Source organism: Homo sapiens, chromosome Y, assembly GCF_000001405.40.
Source record: "Homo sapiens chromosome Y, GRCh38.p14 Primary Assembly".
In the NCBI taxonomy this organism is placed as follows: Eukaryota; Metazoa; Chordata; class Mammalia; order Primates; family Hominidae; genus Homo; species Homo sapiens.
In genome coordinates this window covers 26,029,303-26,049,014 of record NC_000024.10, presented here as the reverse complement: position 1 = coordinate 26,049,014, position 19,712 = coordinate 26,029,303, and the positions used below count along the sequence as shown (strand labels likewise).

General features: G+C 39.1%; 1 long non-coding RNA gene across 1 annotated transcript; it reads left to right on the top strand.

Annotated features, from left to right (window-relative positions):
• The first annotated feature begins 16,587 nt into the window (after nucleotides 1-16,587).
• LOC107987352 (uncharacterized) lies at nucleotides 16,588-19,712 on the top strand. Its single transcript, XR_001756085.3, has 3 exons — nucleotides 16,588-16,670; nucleotides 16,788-16,848; nucleotides 18,384-19,712. It is a non-coding gene; the product is annotated as an uncharacterized LOC107987352 (long non-coding RNA).

The window sequence follows — 19,712 nt, the reverse complement described above, 5'->3', positions numbered from 1 at the left end:
ACTCTTCAATTGACTACTTCAACAAACTACTAAGGTTAATCTCAACCAATATTATTGGAGTCCAAACCTCAGAAATGATGTTTTTCTTGATAGTGAGTTTGAATTTTTAAAAAATAATTTTGTCTTACACTTATAGTCTCTGGGTGTCATGAGAGTTGCTTTTGCAAATTTTCACTTTGCTCCAGAGAGCTAGAAATAAGTGCTTGATTTCTATCAAATCACTTGTTACTTAACAAAGAAAACCTCTGAGAAAGGTGTTATTACTATATCCCTTCTGCAGTTGAAGCAAGACATATTTTTGCTTACATTTTCTGAAAACATTGCCAATGGTATTATTTTTCCAAGTGTATGGAAGGTATTCTATCTTTTCTTCACTGTCCTATATTATTTATATGCTATAAATCATTGGCTATTTCACATATATTTCACATATATTATAAAAACTTCTTTGAGATTATTTAATTTTGGTGAAAACTTTATTTTATACAATCAGTTCATTGTAGGTATATCTAATCATGCCATTCTCTGTAATATTATCTTCCTATGATTTCTTTGCATGATACTTTAAAAGCCTTTCTATAACTTTCACTTTTTAGAATTCCCAGTTACACTGCAACACACCAATGTTTCTGACATAATGTCAGAAGGGAAACACAGACTCTGAAAAGTAGAAAGAGAAAGACATTTTCTCTAGGGACTTCACAACTTGAAGAGTGACAGTATGTAAATTTACTGGGATTTTTAGGTCTTTCATGTATCCCAGATGATGGACTGTAGAAGCTTCTAATTGACAAAGTCCAATAGGCACAGATAAAAAGGGCTTCAAGGAAATACTGTTTTCTCCCAGTCAATGAACCAGAAGAGGATGACCTACCAACACACAAATCCAAAGAACACTTCTAGAGAGAATATCCAAGCTACTCAAAAGTCAAGCCCTGTCTTTGTTTGGGGCTCAGTGTTTAAATGTTAATCTGTTAAATCAGGGTGCACACAATACAATTCTTCTTTTCCACCCACTGGTCTCTACTATTCCTTAATTCCTGCAACATTTTCTGGGAGCTCATCCAGGATTGGAGACAACAGGTATGCTGTTTCTTTTGCCTGTCAGACTGGAGCTCCAGGCCAGGAAAGACCTGTGACCCCAGGTGCACCATCAGAAGAACTTCAACCTGAAAGAGAGGCCAGATGTCCTGTGACCCTGTGCACCCCCCGAAAGCACAATGGAACTTAAGGGGCTACAGGACAATTCCAGGGACAGCATGCTGCTGAACCATGGGAAGGTTTGGGGCCCAAGGAAGGACCCATACCATAAAGATGGAATGGGAGTCTGATCACCTCCCAGTGCGTATCTAGTTATCCAAATCAGGACACAAGATTTGCTCTCTAATTCAGATGAAACCTACACCATAACCTCTGAAGAGGAACTGAGAGTGGAAACTGTGTGAATGCATGTGCAAGAGTAGGGCGATGTATGTGGGGCTGCAAGTCTCTTAGCATAGACCATATGTCCCAAGTGAAGTGTGGGACCAACCAGGATTACTGGCATATGTCCTCCGGAACTACCACATATGGCTTAGTCAGGCACCACACAATTTAGTGATTGTGGTGGTCTGGGTTCAGGGGTTATACAAACCATCCATTAAAGCTAAGCATCATCTGAAATACTCCCACAGGAGAGGTGGTCTAATCATTCTGAAGCAAAAGTAAAAGAGTAAGTGTATGACACTATAACTGGGAGGAGATGTGAGGGAAGTTGTCAAAACCCACCATATTAGAATACACGTTAAAAAGTTTAAGAAATGTTACACTGGGAATTGTAGTATCAAGTCGACTCCCCAGAGGTAAAAGAGTCTTTGTAAAATAGAGAAGCCCTATTTTAGTGTTGGGTGGCCAGCTGAAGGAACAATAGATGGGGAATAATTGACCATGCACATCAAGTGGTGACTGGGGTCAGAGAATAGCCAGGGTATCCAGACCAATTTTTTTATATTGACTTATGGCTAAATATCATCCCAACCAGCATGGCTACAGTCTTTCCTGATGGCTTACTGCAAAACGCTTGTTGCTCAAGCTGAGCCTAAAGTGAAAGAGGAATCAGCTTCACCAGCAGCAATGGAGAAAAAGGGAAAGCCATAAGAAGGGCAAGAAAAACTGGCTTTGTGGAAACCACCAGAAGAGACAGAAATCCCTCCTCCCTATACCCCAATTAGCCCCCTTTTACCAAGGCCAATGGCCCATGAGGAGTCAAATTCAGATGGTGACACACCCTGGGTTTCACCCCAAAGGGAGAAATCAGAGCCCCTGCCCCAGGAGGTCAAGGAGGAGTGTCAGAATAATCAAGTGAGCTGCCTCTGCTATGGCCATGCCCTGGTTCTGCAGATGCCTTTCAAGGAGACTTGGGGAGGCCTCTACTTTGATGAATATGGCCATACGTAAGGGGGGAAATGGACCCTTATCTACCAGCCTATTTCAATCACTGATCCCCTAACTGGAAACACCATATTCTCTCCTACATGAAGAAGCCCCTGGCCCTCATAGATCTGATACAGTCCATTTTCCAGACACATAATTCAATTTGTCCAGATAGTAAACATCTTCTCCTGATGCTGTTTAACACCAAAGAGCATGGAAGGATGGCTCATTCAGCCCTCAACTGGCCAGAAGCCCATGTGCCAGAAGGCACATTTAATTTCCAGGCATACTCTCAGGTCCAGTTCCCAGAAGCACACTCCCACTGGGACCCAGATGATTTGACCAGTTTCAGCATCTGCAGGCATACTGAAAACCACTCTTGCAAAGGCTAAAGGAAGGCAGAAAACAGGTAATCAATATAGAAAAAATCTCAGAAGTGCTTCAAGAAACTGACGAGAGCCCTAGCAAGTTTTATTAGAAACTGTTTGAGGCATTCTGGCTTTACACTCCATTTGACCCCAAGGATAAGAACCAGCAGATAGTAAATGCAGCATTTGTAGGACAAGCCCAGGGGGACATAAGATGAAAAGTGCAAAAGCTAGATGGTTTTGCAGGCATGAATGCCACCCAGCTTTCAGAATTGGCCACGAAGGTGTATGTTAACTGTGACCAGAAAGCACAAAGTGAGGCTGATTGGAGACTCAGGAAGAAGGCCGATCTACTAGTGGCAGCCCTCATGGAAAGGGAAGCTATCATCACAAGCAGATGCAGATGCAGACTCAGATGTGGAAGGGGCCAAGCAGGGCAGAGACCCAAAAGTCAGCTGAGACTAGATAGAGATCAATATTTGCACTGCAAAAAAAGGGGGTCCCTGGAAAAATAAGTGTTTAGAGGGTAGTAAAAGAAATAACAGAGGACACAAAACTATCAAACAGCCAGCCAAGGACCACCACACCATGAGGGAGCCAGGCATCAACTTAATTGGGCTGGCAGAGACCGAAAAATAGGAAGACTATGCAAGACCGGGCTCCATCTCCCAAGTCCCCAGGAGCCCATGATCACAGTAGAAGTAGGGGAGCAACAGATGGACTTTATGGTGAACACCAGCTCTAAACACTCAGTAGTGACACAGCCCATAGGGCCACTATCTAAACATGATACAACTATTATTGGGGCTACAAGGGATCCAGAAAGGAGGCCATCTTGCTGGCCTAGAAGGTATGTCATAGAGGGACAAGAAGTCCAACATGAATTCCTATACCTCCCAAGTTGCTCAGATCCCCTACATGGAAGAGATCTGCTCCAGAAACTGACAGCACAGATTTCTTTTGGGCCACACGAGGATATAACTTTAAGCCTAACTCACCCAAAGGTCATGGTGTTAACCCTCATTATTCTGCAGGCTGAGGAATGAAGAGTATAGACAAAACAGTCACCAGAACTGTCTCATAAGCCAGGGCTGGAGAAAGTGTTTACACTACTGGGTAAAATTTTTGGAGTATGGGCTAACAATAACCCACTGAGCCTGGCTGTAAAGGCTGTAAATCAGGCACGGATAATAGTAAAGCTAAAACCAGGAGCAACTCCAGTTCAGGTTCACCAATACCTATTTCTCTGAGAAGACACGCGGGGTATTCACAAACATTTAAAGTGACCCTTCAAACACAGAATCTTAGTCTGGTAGTCTGGTGTGAGTCACCCTGGAACACTCCACTGCTACCAAAACAAAATACAGAGTCTGGTAAATCTAAACCAGTGCAAAACTTACATGAAATGAACCAGGCTACTGTAACCTTCCACCTGGTGATACCAAATCCGTACATGCTAATAAGATTCATTCTGGCAAGTGCTGCCTGATTTACTTGACTAGACTTAAAGAATATTTTCTTCTATCTGTGCCTGGCACCAATTAGTCAGCCCATCTTTGCATTTCAATGGGACGATTGAGTCACAGGCACAGGGGAGCAGCTCACATGGACTAGACTCCCACAAAGATTCAAAAACACTCCTACAATCTTTGGAGACACACTGGCCTCAGACATCAAGGCCTTCACCACACCAAATGACAACTACACCTTGCTACAATACATAAACGACCTTCTCCTAGCAGCCCCAACCCCAGGGGGCAGATACCAAGGAATCCAAGACTTCCTCCATCTCCTTTATGGAAAACTGGTTATAACGTATTCAGAAAGAAGGCCAAATTTGCCAAGAAAGTGTCAAATATCTGGACTTCATAGTAAGCCAATGGGAACACCAGCTCAGCAGTGAGCAAAAGCCATGTCTTTATGCACTCTCAACTCAAACCACCCAGTGCCAAATGGGAAAATTCTTGGGGAATGCAGGGTTCTGCTGTATCTGGGTCCCAAATTTCTCACTAATTGCCAAGCCCTTATATAAAGGCACAAAGAGAGGGGAAAGGAAACCCCTCCTTTGAGAGGCTGTCCAGGAAAAGAAGGTGTTTAAACAAGCCAAAGAAGCCTTAACACAGGCCCAAGCCATAGGACTGCCAAATATAAGTAAGCCTTTCTTTCCACATGTCCATGAATAAAAGGGATTGGCTATAGGTGTCCTGACCCAAGTTGTGAAATCATGAATTCGCCCGGTGATGTACTTATCCACACAATTGAACTCCTTGGCCCTAGCATAGCCTCCTTGCCTTAGGGCACTAGCTGACACCACCCTATTGGAACAACAAGATAGAAAACTAGCTCTAAGACAACAGCTGACCATCTGGGTATACCACAGTCAGTTCTAACTTTAATGGATTAGACAGCGCACTATTAGTTATCAAATCCAAGAGTGACTCAGTACCAGGGGCTCATATGCAAAAATCCCGACATAACTTTGGAAATAATAAACACCCTTAACCTGGCTACCTTAGTCCCAGTCAAACCAGGGGTCCTCCTTCATGACTCTGTGGAAACAGTAGATGATGTATTCTCAAGCCAGAAAGACCTTATAGAGCAACCCCTCTGGGACCCAGATGGTAAATACTATATACTGAAAGGGGTCCGTGAAACTGGGTATGCAGTGATAACATTAGATTCAGTGGTAGAAGCTCAGCCCACCAGAACATCAGCCCAAAAGGCAGAGCTAATAGCCCTAATGAGAGCGTTCTGCTGACAAAACGTAAAATGGCCAATGTTTATACTGATTCCAAGTATACTTTTGCCACGCTGCCTGATAATGGGGCTATATATAAAGAAAAAGGATTCTTAACTGTGGTGGGCCAAAAAGAAAAAAAAGTACAAAGAAAAAATTCTGCAACTCTTAGATGCTGTATGGACTCCAAAGAAGACAGCTGCTATGCACTGCAAGGGGCACCAAAAGCCAGGATCACTGGAGGCCAAAAGGAACAAAAAGGTAGACAGGTATGCAAAAGGGGCAGCAATGACTACCCATAGACAGACAGACAGCCATAGCTGACTCTCCTCCCAAATATGCACCTCTCAGAGGTTTCAAGTTACCTCCAAATGAGAAGCTCTGCTTTTCCCAAGGGTCTGGAAAATATATAAAAAGGGACGGTGAAAATTCTCCAATAGGAGGCTAGCCAACCACGAAATGCTGGCCCCAAAATTTGTAAAACAATTCCATCAAGGAACCCACATGGGAAAAATGTCACTGAAAACACTGCTAGGACACCATTTCTATGTGCCACAGCTCACTGTCATCACTTGATCTGTCTGCAAACAATGTCTAACTTGTGCCCAGAACATTCCATGACAAGGGCCCACTTGGCCCCTGGGAATTCAGGAAATGGGAGCCACACCCTGTGAAAACCTTCTTAGAAACTTCACTGAGATGCCCCAATCAGTGGGCTGTAAGTACATACTGGTGATTTTCTGTACCTTTTCAGGATGAGTTGAGGCTTTCCCCACCCTAACAGAGAAATCATGAGAAGTAACAGAAGTACTGTTAAGAGACGATATCCCCAGATTGAGAATGCCTCTAACTCTAGGGTCAGAAAATGGACTGAAATTTGTGACCGAGACAGTTCAGGGACTATTTTCCACTGGCCATCCCCAATCATAGCTCAAATTAGGGGTGAACTTTGCAAACTAGGGAATTAACTTTAAGAAGGCAAAGGCAGGCGTTAAAGAGAGCCATGCAAGAGGTCCATGGCTGGGTATGGGAAAGATTGTCCATAAGCCCAACAAACACAGCACACCACTTTAGACCTGGGGACTCTGTGTAGGTCAGAAATAAAATCCAACCACTCTAGAACCCATATGGGATGGGCCCCATCCTGCAACCTTGTCCACTTCCACTGCTGTTAACATTGCAGAAATTGTGCGTTGGATCCACCACAGTCAACTAAAACTTGCAGCCCAAGACAAGTGGACCAGCAAACATGACCCAGACCATCTGAGCTGGCTAATCCTATGACCTATTTGCCCTGAGAAATGATGAAGCCCTACTCTGGTCATTCCGAAAGCTGACTAGTCTGTTCTCAGCTAAAACTTGAGGAGTCAACAGCCCTGCTGTAGTCATCCTGGAAGCTGACTACTGTACGTACGTTTGAAGCTGGAGTAAAATATAATAAAATAGTGATAAAAATCTTAAATCCAATCATTGTTTTACTATTGTTCTCTCACTTTGCTCAACCTCCTCCCCTGTGTAAAAACTTCTTCTTTTCCTCCCTGGTATAAACATGTTACTCTTTACTTATTTCCTATTCCAGGCAATAGGAAAGCTAAGCCCACTTCTTTTCCTCCTAACTATAATACTCCCCTTATTTGTTTCAGAAAAGGAGACCAGAGAAGAGTGCCCACACTGCACTAACAATATGGTCAGGGAGCACCATAACCAAAACCCTGTTATATCACACTTATTAAAAGTGTACAGGGACCCACCTAGAAACTTGTACTCACAACGAAACTACTCAGTCTGTGACCCAGGAAATGGCTAGACTTATATGTGTTATAACCCCAAATTCCTACCTGAGACCTCTTTTAAAATTCATGGGTCAATAGAAGGAAACCTGCTACACCAAACCAAGGTCTCATCCTCCCATTGGGGAGTTATGTCCTTATCCTTTAATATATGCCAGTTAACATCCATGGGCTCAACCTTTCCCATAATCTCTAATTCTGAAGAGCACTATAATAGTTGCCACAAAAATATATGTTCACCCCTTGCTTTCTTTGCCAGTTTCTCAGAGACAATTTGCTGGAACTGCATAATTCAGTCCTGTAACCTGCAATCACTGGGGTGAGTCATACTTACAGCAAAAACAAACTGTAAGGCAAGCACTTGCTACCTGGAAAATCTCAGTACCTTAAAACCGTATCTGGCTGTATGGGCTACAAGTTTAAAGGCTCCTCTAGGAATACAAGTTAGTGGCCAGAAAACAGACTCAAAAGCCTATTTACATATTATCAAGAAATCTCGGATGGTTACACCTGAAAACTCTGTTTTAAAATCATTCTGTAAAAATTTCAACCAGGAACTGTTTGAACCCTCTCTCTTAGCCAGAAGCCTATTCAGTTGAAGTATATGGAAGCCTATTCAGTTGATGTATATTCAACTGGCTGAAAACATAGCCAGCAGCCTACATATCTCCTCATGCTATGTTTGTGGTTGGACCAACATGGGACACCAATGGCCATGGGAGGCAAGAAAGCTAATGCCCCAAGATAACTTCACTCTTACTGTCTCTTCCCCTGAACCTGTGTTCACAAGCCAGAGCATCTGATTCTTAAAGACCTCCATTATCAGAATATTATGCATTTCTTGTTGGAGAAAAACCTTATAGGCCCAGTAGGAAAGTCAACTTGCCTAGAACAATAATATTACAATAAAACAGTAGGAAAAACTGTATGTTGTGGTAAAAATAATTCCAAACTGCCCCAACCAGGCCCATTCTCCTGATTCCCTTCTTTAAAGCATTCTTTGTACCAACTTAACGCTCCTAATACCCGTCAGGTGCCCTCTGAGCTCTACTGGATCTGTGGGCCATGGGCATATTGCCCATTGCTGGCTAAATGGTCAGGGGCCAGTGTACTGGAAAAAATTAGGCTGTCTCCTTTCTAATCGCCTTAGGACAGGGAGGACCTTTAGGGTATCCGGTCTATTATAAAACAAATACAGAACAAACAAACAAAAGACATAACCATAAGAAATTGGTAAAACAATTAATGACCCCCTAAAAATTCCAACACCATGGCTCAGCCACCTGGACAGAAAATGGAATTTGGGGATACTGCACTCCTATTTACATATTCTACCACAACATAAGGTTACAGGCAGTGCTGAAAATTATTACTAATAACACTGCAAAGACCCTAAATCTGCAGGCCCAACAAGCCACAAAAATGAAGAATGCTATTCATCGAAATAGACTGTCTTTAAACTACTTCCTAGTCCAGGAAGGAAGGGTATGTGGAAAGTTCAATCTAACTAAATGCTGCCTAGAAAGATCATTAAGAATACAACTTCCAAAATCCAAAAATTGGCCCATGTTACAGTCCAGCCTTTTAAAGGGTAGTCTCCAGTTTCCCTCTTTGGGGGCTTATTTTCATCCTTTGAAGAATTTAAGATCTTAGTAAAAATAGTTCTAGCCATACTAGGATTCTGCCTTGTTCTAATTTGTCTCTTACCCTCCTTGTTAAAAACATTCAAGCAGCCATAGAGGCTCTTGTAAACAAACACACGACTACTCAACTAATGGCTCTAACTAAACATCAACCCCTGCCAAATAGGGAACTGCTCCCCCTTGAAGAATTACTAGGTGATTCTCTCTATTAATCCTCATTTACAAAAAGCATGAAAGGTGGAAATGAAACAGGGAATGTTAAAAAAAAAAAACATATTCTGTGTACTGAGCTGACTCACTCCAAAAACCCAGGGATAAGCCAGGCCCTGTTGGGGCTCTGATAGCACTATCAGCAGAGATGGGGCCTGTAAAGAATGGGTTCCAGGAGCAGGAGTGAAAATAACACGTTCTTATCTGTTTCCCCTCTCTAGTACTCTCACCCAATACCATTATTCTTTGATGTGCTCTCACATATACTTTTATAACTACTTCTGGAAGTTGACAAAAATTTTGTAGGTTTCTGTTTTCCCATCCATATATTATTGAAAGTCATGATACATGCCTGAGTTATAACACCTGTCACTTTTTTTTAAAAACTCTCTTCATTCTACTCCTATAAGCTTGCTTGCCCATCCTGCAGATTTCATGCCATTAGCTGCCAACCCTCTTCAGTTGCATGTATGAAAGTCAAGCCCTATCTTTGTTCAGGGCTCAGTCTTTAAATGTTATTCCGCTAAGTCAACGTACGCCCAATAAAATCCTCCTGTTCCACCCATTGGTCTCTCCTGTCCCTTAATTCCCACAAGAGTGGGAGCTTTGTCCTTTGTTTCAGGGATGAGCAAACAGCCAGGCTCTTTTCTTTTGGGACCAAAGTATTTCATCCTCAAATATGAAAGTAATTTTCTCAAGGAAAGCCACCTCTTACTCCCTCCCAAACATTGGAAATACATCTTAAAAATATTTCCAAAATGTCTGGTTAGCAGTTTCTTGGGTATAGTCATGGCATTCAGTAACATATAGAATTACTTAAAGAGGCAAGGGATTTTGAGAAGTTTGATTTTGCTTATTCCAGAATAAATGCGTTTTGGAAACCACTCTGTAAGACCTGATCTAGAGCCTGTCTCTGCTGGGCAGTTTCCTTGGGGCTGATCATACAACAGTGAATCAAACCAAGCTCGTGTCATCCTGAATTTCTAGACACTGAGGCAGATGGTCAGCAAACCATTACCCAAGACTGTAGTAGAGTTGGGCTGAAGCAGATGAGTAGGGGCCATGGCTACAAGAGGGAGTTTTGACCGGCAGCCATTTGTCACAGACCTGGGAAAGGGACTGAAACAAGGTAATAAGATAAAGGAATTCAACTGAATAACTTGGTGTTCTGCCTCTGAGGTGGAATGTAGATTATAATACTGGATTTAGAAATTATTTACTGGGTGCAGTGGCTCTTTTGGAGGCTGAGATGAGTGCATCATGAGGTCAGGAGATTGAGACCATCCTGGCTAACGTGGTGAAACACCATCTCTACTAAAAATACAAAAATTAGCCAGGCATGGTGTCATGGGCTTGTAATCCCACCTACTTGTGAGGCTGAGGAAGGAGAATCAATTGAACCCAGGGGGTGGAGGTTGCATTAAGCTGACTGCTCAACTGCACTCCAGCCTAGGTGAAAGAGTGAGATTCAATAATAATAATAATAATAATAATAATAATAATAATAATAATATAAAAAAACATTATTAAGCAGCATAGTGAGTAACATTGGTGTTACTGAGAATTTTTTATATTCATCATTTCACTTCTTCTAGCCTCAATGGAAATTGAAAAGGCTGAAATATGCTCTCTCTGATGCAAGGGGCACAATGGACATACTTCATTTCTTTCCGTTGTGTCCAAAGAGGTTTCAGTATTCCACCACGTAGGTACAAAATATAAACCAGAGCAGTGAAGTAGTTTTGCTTCCTTTCTTCCTTAATAAAGAGGTGCTTAAATAATATTACTATCTTGAAATTACTATTTCATATAAGAAAGCAATCTCATTTATAAGTAACTTTTTTCTTCTTGTTCTTCTAGCACACAGAAAGTTGCCTTTCTACTTGCAGAAATGATTAACTGTCTCTTAAGGTATTTTAATTTCATGAGAAGGATTGAGAAGAGATGGTGGGTGGAGACAGAGAAAAAACTGTGTTGCTTTTCTCCTGTTTTTGAAACTAACTCAGTCCCTGCTGATGACTTTAGAACAAGGCAGAGCAAAAAGGTTCATGACCCTCTGGTGAACCTATAAATTCTTCTGTATATTTGCATTGCTTACTCATAAAAAAATAGGTTATGGGTAGAACTGGAAGAGAAAGGTCAGCATAATTGTTTCTGAGAATGAGGTCTATTTAAACATTTGAGATGTAGGGACCCGTGCCATGATGCAGAGGGAACAGACAATTTGTTGAAATATGGGCCTTCCCTGGAAGAGATAGAAACAGAAGAAACAAGTATGTGTATATTTTCAAGAAGCAGGTACAAGATATTGCACAATTAATGTGCTGGAGTGATTACTTTTCACTTCAGAAATAAGGAAGAGTTGGAATTTCAGTTTGGTCTCCAACAGCATATCACCCTTTATGACAGAATGGAAATGTCACCAGCTGAGGAGATAGTGAAGGCAAATGCCAAGCAAGGAAGCTACAGCCATAGTCAGACCCCAGAAAATGGGTTGGTACAGATGAAACATTTGTAGTACAATGTTGGTGGTGTTATGTGAAATCAATCTGGAAAGAAAAAGGCAGATTATCAGAGCCCAGAATACCATGGCATTGGACTCTACCAGAGCAGAGACACTGTACATGAGATACAATCTTCCCCTCAGGGAATGCCTGGTGCAGATGACCACAGGTTTCTCGCAGGCAGAGACTGAATTCACAGAGAGCCTTGACAGGGCTGTTTCAGTATTCCAGGCAGATGATGAGGAAGACCCCTCTTGCAGCCACAGGACAGAGAGTGTGAATGTGCCAGGGCTAGTTACTGGGTGGATGGAAGATGGCTCATGAGCGAAGGACTGGGATGATCACTCCTGGGATGAAGCTGGTGCTGTGGAGTTTCTACATGTGTATGGAAAGAAACTATCAGAAATGTGGATGGGAGGCTAGGTATAGAGATCAGGAGTGGAGTAAAAGATATGGAAAGGATCCACATCAGAGTAATCGCTGAAACTCTAAGAAGGGCTGCCGTCCATTTGCAAGACTCAGTTTCAACACAAACAAAAAATTAAGAATAATAATAAATTTAAGAAAGAGCTGAAATAAGAGGCTGTCAATGTCAGCTAGTTGGCTGTAGAAGAACCAAACAGTGAAGGTGGCTGCCAGTCCAAGGTTGCTTCCAGGGGCATACATTGCCTCCCTCCTTCCTCTGGTTCTCTGCTTCCCTTCTATATTCTGATTCTGGCCTAGCAGATAAATTTATCTGTCCAATTAATAGACCTGCTAAGTCTTGCTTGAATTACAGCAACATATGAATGTTCCTTAGATTCCTGGTTAATTCAAATCTGAAGCACAGGACACTTGAGGGAAATTAATCACTTCCTTCATTGAGATGACCTATTTGTTTTCCATTGATGATAGCAATGATTCCAATTTTAAAAATTAGTTCACTGGCATACACGATGGAATTATAGTACTGCATTTTTAAACACTTAAAATGTTTTATAAATGTGTTTGTGTATTTTGTGCTTTCATGCCCATCTGTTTTAGAGAAGATGATTCTGGAATCAATGAAGATGTTTGACAGCTTCTCCAGTCACAGAATTTCTCATTCATTACACTAAAAAGAGCTGTTTTTCTAAGCTTATATTTCCTAAATTTTAAATGAGTATAACCTATCATATTGATTAACTCCAGGCCTACTCTTTAAAGATTAAGCTATTTTCTTTCCTCTCCAGTGAAGGACTGCCATCTGTAAAATGAGGTCATCTTTTGCCGGCACATTTCAGTTTTCTCCCGGAACATAAAAACACACAGAAATTCCTAGGCTTTATGAATAGTACAATATTGCCTCTGATCTTTACATTTAATACCTGTGGTTTGAATGTGTGTGTCCCTCCAGAGTTCATATGTTGGAAGTTAAACCCTCCAGTGTGATAGAATTAAAAGGTGGGGGCTTCTGGAGGCAATTAAGAGTGCAATTAGCAACCCTATAAAAGGGCTTAATGGAAATAACTGGGCCCTTTTGCCCTTCCACCATTTAAGGATACTTTATTTGTCCTCTCTGGAGAACACAGCAACAAGATACCATCTTGGAAGCAGAAACTAGGCCTACGCCAGGCATTGAACCTGCCAGTGCCTTTACCTTGGGCTTCCCAACCTCTAAAACTGTAAGAAACATATTTCTGGTTTCATAACTTACCCAGTCTAAGGTATTGTGTTATAGGAACAGGAAGATACTGAGATAGCATCTTTATTGTGGAAACTTTGGTCATAATACTTCATGAATTGGCTTCAAGTATTTCATTAGTTTATAAATATAGGGTTCCTTCCCAGGTGGCAAGATCACTTTTGACAATTTAGAGACTTCTGGTGATCCTATCTATTACTTACACTTTCCTCTGTTGATTTGTGTGAATTAAATAATTGCACAAATTGTTACTTAAACAGAAGGTAGTATGTAGTGTGACAAATAGTACACCAATTGAACTGTGTACTCTTCTCCTGCCATGCATGAATGAAAGGAGATGATCCAGAGTCAGAACCTGAATTAGAGATGGCCATGTGTCAATAGTGATAAAGACTATGAGGCACTAAGAAATGTCAGATGCAGAGAACCCAAATTTAGAATCATGTTGACAGATAAGGAGTTCAAACAGATTATTAAATAAAATCCTGAGTAACATATTTAGCTCTGCTATTCTAGAGAGTAACTGTTAGAACCAGGTTTTTTTTTTTTATATATTCCTGAGTAAACCTTTCCATAGAATTTTGTACTATTGATTTGAAAAAATAACCAACTACACAGGGAAACTTATTGTTGTACTTTGCCCAAGTTTAAGCCTTGTTAATCTTACTGGTAGATAGATTTTATTTGTTGCAAAACTGGTCATAAAACGTATAACTTTATACAGAGAACTACAGAAGTGTTAGTGGCACTTTTATGCCCAATACAGCCCAGTGGATTATAATATTTTCTTAAATTGCTGAAGAGATTTTTGCCAAAAATAAAACAAGTAGCACTCACAGACTTGATTTTTATAACAACATGAAATCTTTACTATGCACATTATTCAAATGTGACACCATACTGGGGACAAAGATAGATTTATATATAGTAAAAAGGCAAGTAAATGAAGCTATAATATTACTTCATTACTCTTAGTACATCTACAACTATTTCCACTTATGGATGTCAGCAAAATAAGCATGCATAAATATTGACTATTTTCTACAAGTATTTATTGTAACGCTTGATTAGAACTATAGGAAGCGCTTGGCACTTGGGCACTGACGGAAGTTTTTTCTTTTTTTTTTTTTTTTGTTTTTTTTGAGATGGAGTCTGCCCTGTTGCCCAGGTTGGAGAGCATTGGTGCAATCTTGGCTCACTGCAAGCTTTGCCTCCCGGGTTCACGCCATCCTCTGGCCTCAGCGTCTGGAGTAGCTGGGACTGCAGGCACCTGCCACAACGCCCGGCTAATTTTTTGTGTTTTTAGTAGAGACTGCGTTTTACCGTGTTAGTCAGGATGGGCCCAATCTCCTGATCTCATGATCCACATGCCTCGGCCTCCCAAAAGTTCTAGGATTCAAGGACTGAAAATGTTGATTCACTTTTAGATTATGACAATTTATACACAGCAAAATTTAATGCTCTTTACATAAAAAATATTAGACTACTTAAACAAAACTTTCAAAAATTCCTGCAGCTACCAGAATTAGAAAAGTAAAATTAGGGTTGAGACACTCCCCTTCTAGAAAACTGGACTTCAATGCATCACCACTGCTGGAAAAAATAGTCATGGAACAGGAAAACAAACAGTGAGATACTTTGAAATAGCCATTCTGCACAGAAGAGAGCTTCTCTCAATTAAAAAAAAAATCCCAAATAATAAAAAAACCCCCAAAACTCTACCGATATATGATACTTGATGTTCAAGTTTAATAGCATGCTGATAGAGGTGTGCTTCCTTACTCAATTTTGAATACATTTCTGCACATGTATATTATAAAATTCAGGAAACAGCCAAATCACAAGTTAATTCTTGACATGAATTTACAGTTAATCCTATTCTAAGCAGCACATTTGAAAGCACTGATATACCCAACAGTTACACAGATTATTTCATAATGAAAAACACAAAGTTTACCATCACTAATACCCAGTAACTATAGTCACTTAATGTCTGCTACTCAATAATAATGCAGAAGGCAAGCTTGTATTGAAACTGGCTTAAACTCAAGTACTTTTCTTGCTAAACATCAAACTTTATTATTCCAGGAAACTAAGATTTAGATTAAACAAATAAATACTAAACCTAATTTAAATTCTGTCTTCGAGTCTATAAAAGTAAGAGATTAGTGGCCTATGGTCAGTTTAAATTTAGGTTTTAGAGAGTTGGTATGAAACTGTTTAACTAGACCACTGAAATGGTTAAAATTGGGGGGTCATTTTAATAAAGTAACATTTTCTATTTAAGAAAAATATTTATGGAGCAAAATTACATGAAACATATTTGGGTCTGTGGTTGTGATACAAATTCTTAGAAATTTAAACATATCCTCCTTAAGATGGAGCTGACATTTTTATCCCAAGGATAATGAAAAATGGATGAGTATGTTGTTGGAATATAACCTATTAAAAAATTGCTTTTGGAAATCTTGTGAATGAGTCTTAATCCAGATCTGTTAGGAGTAGATTATAAAATTGCATTTGGAAAGCTAATCAATGAGTCAGAATCCAAATTCTTCTGTAGTGGAGTCAGCATAATTGTTGCTAATTTTTGCATTTTTGAAAAATATTTTCTTATTGGCTGAGGAAATTAAGGGAGCCTGGACTTGGGAAGAAAAGCTAATTTGAAAAGTCAGTCATAAAAATCACATTATCTTTGAGGCAAAGTTTAATAAATGCCAGCTCTAAGAATTGAAACTTCACCCCTATTCCATTTTATTTCCTATGTAGATAGCAGTTATTTGAGGATAGATGGCGTATATGTGAATTCGTGGTCTCATCCCTTGAAAGCTGGCATGTTACAGGTCCCTATCAAGAAGCATCACATATTCCAATGAGTGTCTTAATAGAACTGCTCTAGCAACAAATGTGAACATGCCACAAATTTCCGGAGTATGAACAATCATTTTAACAAAGGGTTGCCTTTTAAAATTGCTAACTTAAAACCTCTCATATTTTTTCTGAATAAAAAGATTTAACCACTGGGAAGTTTTCCTTGGAGATACATCCCAGTAGCTTGAGATAGAAAGTGAGGTATTTGAACATTTACATTAGTTTGGTGGAATACATATGTTTACTGCAGAGCAGCCATGTGATGATTTGTCAGAGCTGTAAATGCTTCAGCTGAAACACTCTGCCAAATATTTATGTGTAAGAATTGAGTTATTCATTTTACTACGACTTGATATCTTGCAGTTCCTGTTCCTTCTTTGCTTGGATATCTTCACAAGCCTGCATTGTGTTGGCATCCAAGTAAGCTCTGTTAGAAGACAGTATCATGAGAATGTGGATCTAGAAAAGAAGGGTGAGTAGGATGTCTAGAGAGCATGTGAGAAGGCAAAGCATCATGCTAGTTAGGTTAGATGGAGTTGACGTTGAAGGGGAAAAGTGTTATTCTGTATTAATATTTGCTCTATTGCAGAGCTGTGAAATTCTGAAAACATGCTCTACTACTTGGCTTCACATTTTGAAACTGAAGAAAAGTAAGTACACAAACATTGCAAAGTGTTTCTATTGATGACTAAATGTCTGTATACTCATTAGTCTAGATGAGTCACATATATAACACATCTCACTACAATTGGGGCTTGTCTATATAAATAGATATTCATAAAATTTGCCTCAGATGTATATTGTGATAATGCTACTGAGGAATTTATGTTTGTGACTGTTATATTATCTTTAAAATTTTTTAATATTTTGATGTTTCATATTTTGTCTGTTGCCTTGCATCTATAGTTCTCCATCTTTATTCCTTGCATTTTTTCTAAAATTCTCATTTTCCTTATATAATAACAGTGGCCTAATTTTTTTGGATAAATACTTGTTAATTTTTTCTAAATCCTTATTTTCAATATTTCAGTGTGATTATTCCTAGGTGAAAGCAAATTTTTATCAATCTAACGGTAGAGTATTTTATATTTTAACACATGAGTTTAAACAGCTTACATCTAATATGGTTACTCTCTTATCTAAATAACTAACACCTGCTCAGTCAGTTTTTCATTTACCCTAGATTTTCTTTGGCTCTGCCTTTGCCTCCTATCTGCCTTTGTTCTTCTCTCCCTTTCCCCACCCGTCACCTGTTTTTCTAATTGTATTCATTTACTTTTCTTACTCGTATTTTTTTCTTTTTGTGCTTTTGACATTAATCACCAAATTTCTACAGTTTCTGTAGTTAATCAAATTCAAAAATCAAATTAAAAAAATCAGAAAATCAAATTAAAAAAATTAAAGAATCAAATTAAAAAAATTCAATAGCATTTTTTAAACAAAGTAAAACCTATGTCTAGCCCCGTTCAGAAAACAAAACAAACAAACAAACAAAAACTTCCTGCCTACCTCTTTTATTTTGAGATTTATTTTTCTCTTTGCTAAAATAAAATAAGCTTTATGTTTCTTTCTCTTGGTCTTTTGATAAGTCTTTAATATTGGCATAATCTTTGAGAGTTAAAAATATGTTTCTAGTAAATGATATTTTATGTGGATAAATATTTTCTGTAGAGATTATTTTCAAAATCTGTGTGTTTCCCTTTCTGTATATTTTTGTCTTCTTTTGTTTCTTGTAAATGTATATAAAACCTTCCACCACTGAGTTCCACTTTCCTGACTTCTGTTTCATTTACGGTCACCAGGTATAATACAGGATTACCAGTTATATTTTCATTTTAAATAAGCAAATAGCATTTTAGTATAATTCTCAATATTCTAGTAACTTACTAAAATTCTCGTTATCTCATGGGACAGGCTCATACTGAAAACAAATTCTTTATTGTTTGTCAAAAAGTAATCAAATTTTAAATTGAAATGTTATGTCCCTGCACCTGGCAAACTTACTACAGATCAACATAGGAAAGTACTTTTCCTACTGTACTTGTTCGGGGTCTACTGCAGAAGAAACAAACAAACAAAATATTATTTGAGTTCCTTTAATATATGGTTGATTTTTCAATAATGTATAATTGTCTATTTAAAAAAGATTATTTTTTTCCTCCTACCCACATCTTTTTTCCTTTAGATTCCATTTCTTCATCTCAGAGAACTCCTAAACCTACTCATTATGAAGACTTTTTTGATTCAACTTTTTATCCTTGAGTATGACCATTAAGTGTGTCTTCCTTTGCTACCCCTTAGGACATGGAACATCCATCTGTGAATTGTTAATGTCGTCTGTGAAGTGATAAAGCAATCTTTAGTTCTTGAGTGTAAAGTGATTCTTAGTGGGGCAGTTTTGTGTTAACCTTTTTAGGTTTTTAGGAACTTAATTGTTCAATCTAGTATTGTATACCCATTTCTGCCTTTGGGGACCTTATATTTTGTAGGCAACATGAAACAATCTAACCTCAGTCTTGAATATACCACAGGATAGAGGTTGAGATATAAATCTTTCTCTCATGTATTTGAATACAAACCTCATTCTGTGTTAGATCCTAGTATCTGTGAGACATGACTCTCTGTACTGACTTAAGTATTTTACCAAAATGTCTGAATCATGCTTTCTTCCACCAATTATTTAGGCAGGGTGCCCAACCCCACTGGACACAGAAATGGTCTCTTTCCTGAAAATATATCTAAATTTACTCCTCAGTTTACTGTATCAATGAACTGTCAGGTTTATTCTCACACTAATATTGCTGGAGTCCAAACCTCAGGGATGTTTCTTTTCTTGATAGTCAGTGTGTTATTCTTTTTTAAAATTTTATCTTACACTTAGAAGCTCTGGCTTTCATAGGAGTTGTTTTTGCAGCTTTTAACTTTGCTCCAGTGAACTGAAAAATAAACGCTTGATTTCTATTAAATCATTTGTCACTTAACAAATAAAATCTCTGACAAAGGTCTTTCTACTATAACCCTTCAGCATTTGAGGAAGAACACATTTTTGCTTATATTTTCTGGAAGTCTTCCCAATTTTGTTTTATTTTGAAGGGTAGGATATGTATTTTATAATTTTTTCATTGATCTATATTATTAATATGCTCTAAATCATTGGCTATTTTACATATATTATAAAGGCTTTGTTGGGAACAGGCCCCAAAATCTGGTCATAGATTGGCCCCAAAACTGGCCATAAGCAATATCTCTATAGCACTGTGACATGCTTCTGATTGCTATGATGACTACAATGAAGGTTGTTTATCAGAATGAAGGCCAAGGACACCTGGCACACCCAGGGCAGAAAATCACTGAAGGTATTCCTGAACCACAAATAATACCATGAACGATCTGTGCCTCAAAGACACTTTCCCACTGCAGATAACTAGCCAGAGCCCATCCTTTGTCTCCTGTTTTAGTTAACCTGTAATCTATAGAAACAATGCTTATCACTGGCTTGCTGTCAATAAATATG